A 14,492-nucleotide genomic window follows, 5' to 3' on the forward strand; every position below is an offset into this window, starting at 1 on the left:
ATTAATCCATTCAAGGCTCTTGCCTTTTAAATGCTGAGCACCTCTCAATATTGCCATATTAGGGATTAAGTTTCGACAGGAGTTTTGGAGGGGACAAACATTCAAATCATATCAGTATGCATAGTTTTCTGTGTCTCATTTCTTTTACTAACATAATGTTTGTGACACCCATCCATACTGTTGTATGCAGATGTAGACAGTTCACCTTTCCTCTTGTATAGTATTGTAGTAGAGTGTGTAAAACACATTTATCCCTTTTGTTGCTGATGAGTATTTGAGTAATTTCTAGCTTTGGGATACTACAAATAATGCTACTTAAACAATCTACTATACTTATTTTGCTGAAACATACATTCAGTACATTTCTGTTAAGTCCATGCCTAGGAGTGGAACTCTCATGTCACAGAGTATGTGAATTACTTTCCTATTGCTGCTGTAACAATTTACCCCAACTTGGTGGCCTAAAACAACACAAATGTATTATCTTACAGTTAAGGAGGTCAAAAGTCCTAAATAGATCCCACTAGGCTAAAAATCAAGGTTTCACCAAGGGTGTGCCCAGAAGCTCTAGAAGATAATCCATTTTCTTGCCTTTCACAGTTCCAGAGGCTTCCAGCATTCCTTGGCTCGTGACCCCTTCCTCCATCTTCAAAGCCAGCAATGGCTGATCAAGTCTTCTTAGGATATGTCACCCAGACACAGATTCTTCTGCTTCCCTCTTCCACATTTAAAGGAACTATGCAATTACATGGGTCCGCCTGAATAATCCAGAATATCTCCCTTAAAGTCAGCTGATCAGCAACCTTCATTTCATTGGCAACCTTATTTCCACCTTTCCATACAACATAATATTCACAGGCTCCAAGGAGCAGGATATCGACATCTTTGAGGGTCAAGATTCTACCTCCCATAGTATGCATATATTCTGAAAGTGTTTTTAAAACTTCTACTACAAACACTTTATATAATAATAAAACAAAATCAAGCTTCTTTCTTTCTATGTAGCAGATCTGATTTCTTGTTAGCCTTATAATTCTAACTAGAAAAAATCTTTTTGCAGTTACTAAACATTAAAATACATTTTAAAAGTTGTAAATCTATATCTAGTTATTTTCCACTTGGTGCAACACAATACACTAGGGGCTACAGAAATATAAAATAAGTGACTTCTGGTCAAGAGGTCAACTGAGCAGATGCAGAGAAAAAAAGAAATACTAGGAAAATACAGCAAAATTATTTATATTACACAACTCAGTTCTGGATTATTAAAAAACAGAAATGTCAGAAACAAACAAAAAACAACTGAGGAACTAAATCAGATATACATATTAGGGGCTTTGCTTTTTATTCCTATCTGGGGATAGAAACTGAAGCCATAAGCTAAATGCATGGTTTGAGATAGAAATTGTCTCCATCATCCAAAAGGTTGTCCTATCTTTGATTAATGACTAATAAACCTTCACTCACTGGCTTAGACAGTATCACAGAGGTGGACCACCCCATTAAAACACTGTTGGAACAAGAATCGCTGAGAGATCAGAGATCCAAGCTTGTACTAAACATAGGTGTGGAGGTCCAATTCCCCCTACCCAGCAATGCAGAAAGCTCAAATCAATTATAACAAAACTGCCCCATAGCAATACCTCAACAACCTGGGATGCTCTCAAAATTAGTATGAAAAAAAAGTCTCACTGAAGATAAGTTCTTGGACTAAAACTAGAAAGCCCACAATGAAGCTCACCAACCTAAGTGTCATAAGAAGCAACAAACAGAAGCATGAATACCCTAGACATTTTTATAATAGAAAAAGCCTAGAGGAACTTAAAATCAAGTATGTATAAACTCGTGAGGAAATACGTGACAAAACAAACTTGGTAAGATACGAACAATTTTTTGGTTTTAAAAAGAGCAAATGTGAAAAAGAAGTAAATACAAAATCTGGAAATAAAATGCATAATACAGTATGAAAGCATCTGTAGGTATGTCAAATAAGTTTACTTTTTAGAAGTGAAAACTGGTATATTGGAGACAATCACCCAAAATAAAGCACAAGAAGATCAAGCGCTAAAAAGTATCAAGGAGAAGAGACATAGAGGATAAATTAAGATAACTTATATCCAACAGTAGATTTACAAGGCGAGATTAAAAAAAAAAAAAGAGGAAATATGTAAAAAGCAAGATTAAGCACAGTCCCTGACCTCCAGGAGCTCACAATCCAGCAGAAAAATCACTGGCCTATGTTCTCAGAGCTGAAAATAGCACTCAGGACTCATGACTCCCAGGGAAAGGCTCTTCTCACCTTGACATTCTGCCTTCATATCATGTCATCAGCTTCTCACCCTTCAGGTTTGAACTGACATAATTTGAAAGCAGGGAAATAATGCTACCCTACAAGCCCTGAGCGAGTCAGAGCTGAGGTAAGGATCTACTTTGCTGAATCTAATTAAGACTCACTACTGAAGTTTTAACTATCCTCCTCTTGGTTAAAATAAGCCAAAGAGTTGACACGTTCTGAAGACCACTGGGCTGCTCATAGAATACAATGCGTTAAGAAGAACCTATCGGTTTAGCCAGCCCAACATCCTCTTTCTTTGTCCAGCTACCTGATTTTTAGTTTGGGGAGTTTCATGCTGAGTCACATGGTTCCAGGGTAGGCAGGTAACTCAGAAAGGGCCCATTCAATAAAATTTACCCTCCTGGCCACAGTCATTGGTTCAGGGATGGATATGTAACCTAACCAAAACCAAAGAGATTCAATTCTAGGATTCTTATCAGAAATACTGTGCAGAAGAACCTCTTTATCTAGGACTGTTAGATTCATAGAATGTAAGCCTAGATCTGCAGGGGCCGCTAAGTAAAAGAAAGGTCCATTCAGACCAAAGACAATGCAGAGGAAGGTGGAACCAAGTGTTGGGAGTGACTAGCCTCTAGAGTCAGCCATGACTGGTCCAGCTCCACCCCAGTACTGCTGCTCAGTTTTGTGAGCTAATAACTTCCCTTTTCTGGTTCAGCCATTTCTGTTTTTTGCAACTAGAAGAATCCAGACTAATAAAAATGTTGAAAGCTAGAAAGCAGCAGTAGCAGTAGCAGCAGCAACAGTATGAGAATAGATGCTCTGTAAATAGTTCTCCAATTTAAAACACTGAGAAAGATTTGGATTGTAATCCCAACGTTACTCTAACTCATTAACTATACCCTACTTTGTGAATGCAATTTCCATTCTGTAATGTCTTAAGAGTTCTTCCAACTACCTTAAAAGACCTCAAAAAAATATAAACAACAATTTAAAACAAAATTCTTTTTAATTAGTTAAAATGTAAAAAAAAAACATATGGCATTTAAAATTTTAGGAAAATTAAGAGCTGCCACAAAATAAAAGTATGAAAACTTTCAAGGGTAGGAATCAATAATAATGATAATGAATGGGTTTTAGAAAATGAAGAAGCAAAAAGAGGTAAGGCTTTGGTGCCAAAAAGAAAACAACATCTAATTGGGCCAGGCGTGGTGGCTCATGCCTGTAATCCCAACACTTTGGGAGGCTGAGGCGGGCAGATCACGAGGTCAAGAGATCGAGACCATCCTGGCCAACATGGTGAAACCCCATCTCTACTAACAATACAAAAATTAGCCAGGTGCAGTGTGGCACATGCCTGTAGTCCCAGCTACGTGGGAGGCTGAGGCAGGAGAATCAATTGAACCTGGGAGGCGGAGGTTGCAGTGAGCCAAGATCGCGCCACTGCACTCCAGCCTGGCGACAAAGTGAGACTCCATCTCAAAAAAAAAAAAAAAAACCTAATTGTTTATGAATAAGATTAGCATGGAGAAGCAGGATGCAGGTGGGGTGGGAAGAGATGTACACGTATGTGTTTACATAACTGGGAGCATAGCTCCAGCCGTAAGAGAACAACCACAAACAAATCAGCAAATCAATGGAAACAAGACATCTTTTTTCTGTCATCAACTTTCAAGGTCTCTGTGTCTCTTTATGTTCCTAGTCACTCAATAATGTTACAATGATCTTCCCCGTAACCCTCAAATATCAAATATTAATATGCCAATAAGTGCACTGAACTCATCCTTTCTCTCCATTCTGTCTGCAAGAAGTTACATATATCTGTACTATCTGTGTTCTAGCCAGAAATATAGAACACATCATGTATGAGGTAGCCAGATATTAAGTGGCCATAAAGCATTCCAAACGATGCAATATTTGATTGAGAAAGCACATTCTGTACATTTTGACACATGTGAAATCAAGACGGTCTTGCAGTGCTGCTAACCAGGTAGTGGTTCTTATGTAGTCATCACTGCCTGCCTAAGCACAGGTTTGGCTGTGTCTCTTGGCAGCTTGACAGAACATCTGCAACCTTTTGATGCTCAGGTCAACAAACGTTGACCTAAGACCATTTGAAAAAGGAACAGGAGTCCCAGTTGGTGTCAGGTAAACTATCTGATGATACCATCACATGCGGAATGCATGTCAATAGCTTGGAAGAAAAACCCAGAGACAATATTAAAACACCCTCTTAAGAAATGATTCAACATTAACACCCCTAAGGGCACAAAGGGTGATACTCTACAGGAAAACACAGGCATCAGTGACTCTAAGTCAAAAGTGATTCAGTACTCAGACTCGGAAGGTGACAAAGTTTTTTTAAAAAAAGTCTAGTTTATTAAACTAATAATTTTCTCTTAAATATGTTCAAAAATGATAATAAAAATATGTTTAAAAAGTAAAGGGGAGTTCCTTCAAAAAGGAACATACATTCCTCATGATTAAAAACATCAAAATATAATTGTTTAATTGGCATTGTTTTTTCTTACTAGTGGTCCTTAAAATAATGAAGCAGCTTACAGGCAATAATATAGTGGAGGAAACACAGTAATTTTTACAGGAATGTCATACATAGCAAATCTACCTTCTAGTTTATGAAAGATATAGTTTGTTTGGGGGTAAGGAGATTTCTTTGTGATTCCCAAAAACATATGAGCTGATTTCCTTACCATATTGCCCATGTAATTTTAACTGTCTATTGACAATTATGTATTTTTATCTTTGCTCTGTCAAATCTGTGTCTGGATTTAAATAAGATCATTAAATATATTTCTGAAATGTCCCCTTTATATACGTCCAAAATCACTGAAAGAAAAATCTAACTCTAGCAACACTAAAAAAAGCATGTACCAAGACCTCTCTTGAACCGTTAATGGTTTACCTTTGTCTCTCCAAAGCTTGTCTTTCTAAAGTATCAAGGCTCTCAGAAATCAATTGCTCTCTTATTTTATTTTACTTTATTTATTCATTTTTTGAGATGGAGTCTTGCTCTGTTGCCCAGGCTACAGTGCAGTGGCACGATATCAGCTCACTGCAACCTCCGTCTCCTGGGTTCAAGCAATTGTCCTACCTCAGCCTCCTGAGTAGTTGGGATTACAGGCACTCACCACCACGCCCAGCTAATTTTTGCATGTTTAGTAGAGACAGGGTTTCACCACATTGGCCAGGCTGGTCTCAAATACCTGACCTCAGGTGATCCACCCGCCTCAGCCTCCCAAAGTGCTGGGATTACAGGTATGAGCCACTGCGCCTGTCCTCAATTGCTCTTTTAGAGATAAAAATAATATGCTATCACAGCAAACTAATTATATGGGTATTAGAGTGTCATGACTACTCTAAAATCAATTTGCAAAATAAAAATAATGCATGCTTCTTTGCTGTAATGATATGCATTAAAGATCACCTATCAAATCTGGGTTATTCTTCCAACAGCTGTGATATGGTTTGGCTCTGTGTTCCCACCCAAATCTTATCTTGAATTATAATCCCCCTAATCCTCCACATGTCAAGGGAGGGACCTGGTGGGAGGTGATTGGATCATGTGGGCAGTTTCTGCCATGCTGTTCTGATGGTGAGTGAATTCTCACAAGATCTGATGGTTTTATAAGCATTTGACAATACCTCCTTCACACACTCCCACTCTCTTCTGCCATCTTGTGAAGAAGGTGCCTGCTTCTCCTTCCACAAGGATTTTAAGTCTCCTGAGGCCTCCCCAGCCATGTGGAATTGTGAGTCAATTAAACCTCCTTTGTTTATAAATTACCCAGTCTCAGGTAATATCTTTATAGCAGTGTGAAAACGGACTAATACAAGCTGTATGTAGTCACTCCTTAATTCCTTCATTCATGTATTAAATCAAATCTAGTAGTTAACGGTTCAAAAGAAAGGTCACAAGTAGTCACAGGCCAGCCCTGTGATGTCAAGTGCTTCTAAATGCTGTTTAATTTTGCAAATAAACATTCTTTGAGGGTATCTAAGTAGGATGTAATACTTTAAGGCAGACTAACCAATACTTTCTTGAATGACAAAAGAGACTACATAAAATACTAAACTAATAAAGGCATTGGAGAGCTATGAAAGAAATAAGAACTAGAAAGTATAAGATTACCTAAAAGCAAAAAAAAAAGGAGAAACTCAGAGAGATAATCTGTCAATATATGACATTTTCCTGGTTATATTTACACAGGTAAAGGACCATGGCAGAGTTTACGTGATCTTCGGAGGCCAGAGGATCGAAATTGGAGACTTGAAGACCCTCAAACACATGAAGAGTGTTACTCTAATATTTAGCAAGGTAAGCAAAAAAGCTAAGCCATAAACATTATAATGCAAAGTAGAGTTTTTCTACCAGTCACATAGTACTATGAAGACTAAAGATCAACAATGAAAACTCAACAAGGAGAAGAGGTGAACACAACAGAATTCTCAGTAAATTCGTGGAGGGGAATGCTTGAGGAATAAGGTCCAACCAGAGATAGACTGAGGCTTACAGAAACTGTAACCTAACTTCACCTCAGCTAGCTTAAGGTGATACATCCCCCAAATTCATCTGCCTTGCAGAAAAAAGGGTGAACTCTCTTGAGAGGAAAATAATATCAATTTGTAACATTTACAACCTCTATAACTTTTTATACTCAAAGCCTAGCATTCAATAAAAAATTACAGGCGTAGTAAGAGGTAAGATAATATGACTTAAAACTAGAACAGATCCATAGGTGATTCAGATATTAGAGCTAATACCAAAGACCTTAAAATAATTATGTTCAAGAAAATTAAGGAAAATTAAATTAAATTAATGAAAGACAGTATATTTCACCAGATATCTGGAATGTGTAAAAAGAACCAAATGGAAATTCTAGAACTGGAAAATACAATATCTGAAACTCATTGATGGATGGGTTTAACGACAGATTGACATTGCAGTAATCTGCATAACAAGTCAGTAGAACATATCCAAACTAAACAGAGAGGAAGAATAAAAAGGAAAGAAAAGGAGCATAAAATATATAGGGCACAATAAAAAGACATAAAATGTAATTGGGATCCCAAAAAGGAAAAAAATGAGAAAACTAATGAATCGACCTTTGAAGAGAAAAATGCCAAAAATGTTCCAAAACTGAGAAAAACACCAAACAATAGACTCTCACCAACATTCCTAGAACGGAAATGCATACAAATATCAAACAAAAGACATATAGGAATGTTCACAGTGTACTTATAATAACAAAATGTTCAGGAGAAGAATGGATAAATTATGATACAGTCATTAAACAGAATGAACAAGCAATGTATAGTAATGAGAATAAACAAACTATAACTACATGTATCTACATCAATAAATACCATAAACATTATTTTGACTTGAAGGGATGCATACCATATAATGCTATTTATATAAAGTTCAATAACAGGCAAAACTAACCTAAAGCATGGGAAGTCAAGACAGCTATTACCTTTAGAAAATAGTATCTGTAGAAAATAGTACCTAAGAAAGGGTTTCTAAAGTACTGGGAATGTTCTGTTTTTAATATAGTTGCTGGACACATGGATGTGTTTACTTTGTGAAAACTCACTAAGCTGAACACGTATGTTCGATGAACTTTTACAGATATATGTTTAAGTTCAGCGACTAGTTTACTTAAATGAAAGAAGCTCTATAAACCCTAAGTAAGATAACTATAAAGAAATCCAAATCTAACCATATGCTAATAAGAGTACTAATATAAACACAAAGAAAAAAATCTTAAAAGTAATATGGGATGGAGAGGAAGGAGAAGGGAATACATTACTTTCAATGAATAACAATAAGACATAGAGCTGACTTCTAACAGGAACAATGAAAGCCATAAGACAATAGAATGGCCTTGTTAAAGTGTTTTAAAACAAACCAAAAAAACCCTAAGTACTCACCAAGAATTTTATAACAATGAATATATTATCAAAAAATAAAAATTGAAATGAAGATGTTTTTGAACAAACAAAAACTTTAACAATCCACTGACGACAGAACCATACTAAAAGAAGAAGAAAATGGAGAAGGAGAAAGAGGAGGAGGAGGAGGAAGAGAGAAGAAAAGCGGAGGAGGAGAAGGAGGGAAAGAAGGAAAATGAATGGTGGAGAGGAGAGGAGAGAGTTCTTCAGGTAGAAGAAAAATGATCCCCAACAGAACACAGAAATGCAAAAAGAAATGAAAACAACAAAGGTAAACATGTGGGTAAACATAAATCAATGCTGATAAACAATAATATTGGGTCCTGAGTTATACTTATGTCTAGAATTAATATCCATATCAACAATAATACAAAAGATGACAAGGAAAATTAAATTGACATTTTCTAAGGAAAAAGAAGGAAACTAAGCAACAAATTGTTTCATATAATTATAAAGAAAGGATAGAGATTTCTAATCATTATAGTAAACACAAAGGCCAGTAAAAAAATAGATAAATATCAGGTCAAAAGAATGTATCAAGTAGAAGACAAAGAGTTGGTGACAAATATGAACAAATGTCATTAATTTTATTAAATGTAAAGGAGTCAAATACTCTAATTAAAAAACCAAAATTATCAGAGTGGATGTTAGAAACCTAAACAGTAAACTTGTTTACCTACAGGACAAATGCTTTAAATATAAAGACATAAAAGACTTGAAAAATATGTTTTAACATAAAAAGACATACCATGAAAAAAACTAACTTTTTAAAAGATTGATAAAACTATACTAATACCAGAAAACCTAGACTGTAAGGCAAGAAATATTACCAAATACTTTTTAAAAGAACACCTCATAAGTATATGAGGCAATAATCCCTTATGAAAAAATAAGAATTCTCTATTACTGTGTACTCATTAACAGAATTTCAAAACATGTAAAGCAAAAATTGACTGCTAAAGGGAGAAATGAACAAACCCACAAATATATTGGAGACTTATCACTATCAATAGCTTATAAAACAACCAGATCCGCCCCTTCCGCCGACCCAAACATCATATCATTAGGGCCACATGATGCGGTTCACAAGTTTGTCCATGTATACAACACTGCACCAACAAAGAAAATAAAAAAATGTCCTTCAAAAGCACTTGAAACATTTACCAAAATTGACTATGTATGCTGGGTCATAAAGCAGACTTCAAAAAAGTTTAATTATAGTCACTCAAAAAATATTATCTAAACACAATGTAATCAAGCAAGAAATCAATCAGAAATATTTAACAGAAAATCCTCAACTGCTTGGAAATTGAATGCTTCTAATATCAAAATAATCAAAGAATAAATCACAATAGAAATGTGAAAATAGCTTCAACTGAATAATTCAGATATGATAAACCACAATTTGTGAGATGCAGCTAAATCTCGTGCTTAGAAAGAAAGTATAGCCTTAAATGGATTATCATCATGAGCTAGAAAAGGAACAGAAAATCAAATGCAAGCAAAGTTTTTTAAAAAGAAAATCATTTTTATAAGAGAAAATATCAATGGAATGGAAATAAAATGCACAATAGACAAAGCCAAAGGTTTATTCTTTAAAAAGATTAATAAAAGTGATAAACTCAAGGCAAGACAAAAAGCAAAAGAAAAGAAAATACAAACTGACAATATCAGGCAGGGAAAGGAAGGATATGATTACAGATCATACATATATTAAAGACGTAATAAAAACATCATAAACAACTTCTCACTAATCTGAAAAATTAAATTATAGAATAAAATTTCTTAAAAATGAAATATCAAATCAAGAAAATGTTAAAAATCTGAATTCTACTTTGTCCATAAAATAAATTGAAGCTCTTATTAAAATCTTTCTATAAAGAAATCTCCAAGCCCAGAGAGCTTCACTAGTGAATTCTTCCAAATATTTTTTTAAAAATAACACAAAGCTCACATTCTTCCAGAGAACAGAAAAGGATTAACCTTCTCAATCTATTTTATGAGGCCAAAATAACAACAGCCTAAAAACCTAAGAACATTATGAGAAAATTACAGACCAAATTTTTATGAACATCTTTTTTAAAAATCCTTTTAAAAAGAGGGAGGGATGTAAGCAAGATGGCAGAATAGCAAATGCCAGCCCTCATACTGCCACAAAAACACCAATTTTGGCAACTATCCACAAACAAAAATAACTTTGTGAGAACCCCAGAGTCTAGCTAAGTTTCTAGCAGCTTGATAAGCAAAAAAATCTGACAGTAGATGCATTAAAAAGGGTGAAAAGCAATTTCACATTACCCACATCACTTCTCCCCCAAGGTGGCACAGCTCAGTGCCAAGAGAAGCCTCCTTGGCGCAGAATTTCTCCCACAGGGGGAACTAAGAGCAAAGTGAGCACCCAGCTTCTCCAGCCTTGTGGCATGCTGTCTAGCAGGCCCACTTCTGTCTTGCTAACCAAGAATATTGAGGGGATGAGTACAATAGCATCATCTGGGGACAGCTGAGAGCATGGCAAAGGGGCAGGGGCTCACTGCAACCAGTGCACAGATCACAACAGCCAGCCATGGATCCTGCTAATCAGCTAGCAAACTCCACCAAGAGACTCACTGACAAATCCCTCAAAATGACTCTCCTGTGGGCCCTTGCACCCAGTTGACCCACACCACTGGCACATCATACTCCCACAATGGCCTGTGCCCCACACATCCCCAAGCACAGTCCCCTATAGGTCCCCACAATGATGCACATGAGCCCCCTACAGATAGCACACACATCTCAACAGTAGGTGCAGATCTTAGCAGCCAATCCAACTCTGCTAGATTGGGATAATGTGTGCAATCTGAACACATCAGGTCACTGCACTAGGGAAAATAAATAGGAGGCCCTCATTCCAGGCCTGGCTTTGTGGGATTGAAAAAAGGCACACAATCCTAAGACTTCTCCTGTAAGAAGGAACAAGAGCAGTAGAGTATGGGCGTCCATTGATAAGGTCTCGAGACCTCCAGAATCTAGAGAGTCTCACTAACGAAGCTCTCACCAGTGACAAGCTCACTGGTGAAGGTCTTTCTCTCTTGAAGCCAGTCAGTAAAGGCTGGAAGAGGTGACTACTTATTCAAATGCAAAGAAACAATGCAATGCTTCTAGGAAAACAAAGAATCAAAAAAACACAATACCACCAAAAGAACAAAATAAAGCTCCAGAGACTGATCTTAAAAAAAATGGATACCTATGAATTGCCCAACAAAGAATTCAAAGTAATTATCTTTAATAAAACTCAGTGAGCCACAAGAGAAGAAAATGATAGAAAACTAAATTATATAAGGGAAACAATGCATATGTGAAGTTAGAATTTCAACAAAAAGATACACACCTTTAAAAAGAACCAAACATAAATTCTGGAAATGAAGAATACAACACCTGAACTCAAAAATTCAACTGAGAGCTTCAATGGCAGACTCAATCAAGCAGAAGAAAGAATCAGTGAACTCAAAGACAGGTTATTTAAAAGTAGTCAGAGGAATAAAAATAAAACAAGAATGAAAAAGAATAAAGAAAGTCTACAGGACTTATAGAACAGCATCATGTGAACAAACATAGAAATTATAGGAGTCCTAGAAGCAGCAGAGAAAGAGAAGAGGGACAAAGAGAAAGCAAAGTTATTTTAAAAATTAAGACAGAAAACTTCCCAAATCTTGGAGGGAAATGAACATTAAGATCCAGGAAGTCCAAAGAACCTCAAATGGTAGAATATAAAAATGTCTCCACCAAGATACATTATAATCAAATTGTCAAAAATGAAAAAAAAAGAAGTTTGAAAGTAGTAAGAGAAAAACAACTCATCACATATAAGGGAAACACCATAAGACTGTGAATGAATTTATCAGCAGAAACCTTGCAGTTCAAGAGAGAGTGGGATGATATATTCAAAGTGCTGAAAGAAAAAAGCAGCCAACTAAAAATACAACAAAAGGTGTCCTTAAGAAATAGAGACAGAAACTCTTTCCTAGAAAAACAAAAGCTGTGGGAGTTCATCATCACTAGATTTGCCTTACAAGATATGCTAAAAGAGTTCTTCAAAGTTTAAACAAAAGGACACTAATTAGCAATGTGAAAACATATGAAAGTATAAACCTCACTGGTAAAGGTAAGCACATAATCAAATTCAGAATACTTTAATACTATAATGAAGGTGAATAAATCACTTTTACTCTACTATAAAAGTTAAAAGGCAAAAGTATTAAAAATAACTATAGCTACAAAATTTGTTAATGGATATGCAATATAAAAAGTTGTAAAATATCCGAATGCAGTAAAGATAGATTTATTATATTAAAAAAGGAAAAAAGTTGTAAATTGTGACACCAAAAACATAAAATTTTGTGGGGTGAAGTAAATGTATTGAGTTTTTTAATGCAATTGAACTAAAGTTGTTATCAGCTTAAAATAGACTGCTGTAACTGTAAGTGTTTTATGTGAGCCTTATGGTAACCACAAAGAAAGCCGATGTGTTAGGTATTTAAAAGAGAAAGATAGAGGAATCAAAACATACTACCACAAAAAAAATCATCAATGAAAGGAAATGGCAACAGAGGAAGAAAGGAACAAATAAATAAACTACAAAACAGTGAAAAAAACAATTACTGAAATATTTTTAGTAAGTCCTTGCCTATCAATAATTATTTTAAATTTCAATATAAATTCTCTAATCCAAAAACAAAGAGCAACTGAATTTTTTTTAAAAAAAGATCCAACTATGAGCTGTTTCTAAGAGACTGACATTAGCTTTAAGAACACACTTAGGCTGAAAGTAAAAGGACAGAAAAAAAAATATTCCATGCAAATAGTAACCGAAGGAGAGCAGGAGTAGCTATACTTATATCAGAAAAAAAACTTCACTTTAAGTAAAAAATTGTCACAGAAGAAAACAAATGTTGTTACATATTGATAAAGGGGTCCATGCATCAAGAGGATATAACAATTATATATGCACCCAACATAAGAGCAAATAAACATATAAAGCAAATATTAACAGAACTGAAGGGACTGAAGGGAGAAATAGACAGCAATGCAATAGTAATAGGGAACTTTGATACCTCACTTTCAACAACCCCTACTTCCTCCAGACAGAAAATCAATAAGGGAACAACGAAATTCAGCAACACTATAAACCAAATGGACCTAACAGATATATAGAGAACATTCCATCCAATAGCAGCAGAATACACATTCTTTTCAAGCATACACATAACATTCTCCAGGGTAGATAATATGTTAGGACACAAGACAAGTCTTAACAAATTTAAGAAGTTGTAAATCGGCTGGGTGCGGTGGCTCATGCCTGTAATCCCAGCACTCTGGGAGGCCGAGGCGGGCAGATCACAAGATCAGGAGATTGAGACCATCCTGACTAACATGGTGAAACCCCGTCTCTACTAAAAATACAAAAAAAATTAGCCGGGCATGGTGGGCACCTGTAGTCCCAGCTATTTGGGAGGCTGAGGCAGGAGAATGGCGTGAACCCAAGAGGCAGAGCTTGCAGCGAGTCAAGATCGCACCACTGCACTCCAGCCTTGGCAACAGAGCGAGACACCATATCAAAAAAAAAAAAAAAAAGAAGTTGTAAATCATGTCAAGTAACTTTTTCAGCCACAATGGTATGAAACTAAAAATCAATAACAAGAGGAAAATTGGAAAATTCACAAATATGTGTAACTTAAGCAACATGCTCCTGAATAACCAATTGGTCAAATAAGAAACCAAAAGGGAAATCAAAAATATCTTGAGACAAACAAATATGGAAACATACAACATATTAAAACTTATGGGAGGCAGCAAAAGCAGTGCTAAAAGTTTACAGCAATAAATGCCTCCATTACAAAATAAGAATGATGTCAAATAAACAGTCCAGCTTTATACTTCAAGGAGCTAGAGGAAAAAAAAAAAAAAAAATAGGCCCAAACGGCAGAAGGAAGGAATAAAGATTAGAACAAAAATAAATAAAATAGACACTAGAAAAACAATTAAAAAGACAAATAAAACTAAGAATTGATTATGTGAGACGATCAACTTGACAAACCTTTAGCCATACTAACAATGAAAAAAAGAGATGATTCCAATAAATAAAATCATAAATGAAATAAGAGACATTACAACAGATAGCACAGAAATACAAATTTAAGCGATCATAACACTACTATGAACAATTATTTGCCAACATATTGGATGA

At 35.5% G+C, this 14,492-nt stretch overlaps 1 protein-coding gene across 29 annotated transcripts in view; it reads right to left on the reverse strand.

Annotated features, from left to right (window-relative positions):
• L3MBTL4 (L3MBTL histone methyl-lysine binding protein 4) overlaps positions 1–14,492 on the reverse strand; it is a 460,543-nt gene that overhangs the window by 375,083 nt on the left and 70,968 nt on the right. The window lies entirely within an intron of this gene.

Source organism: Homo sapiens, chromosome 18, assembly GCF_000001405.40.
Source record: "Homo sapiens chromosome 18, GRCh38.p14 Primary Assembly".
Classification (NCBI taxonomy): domain Eukaryota; kingdom Metazoa; phylum Chordata; class Mammalia; order Primates; family Hominidae; genus Homo; species Homo sapiens.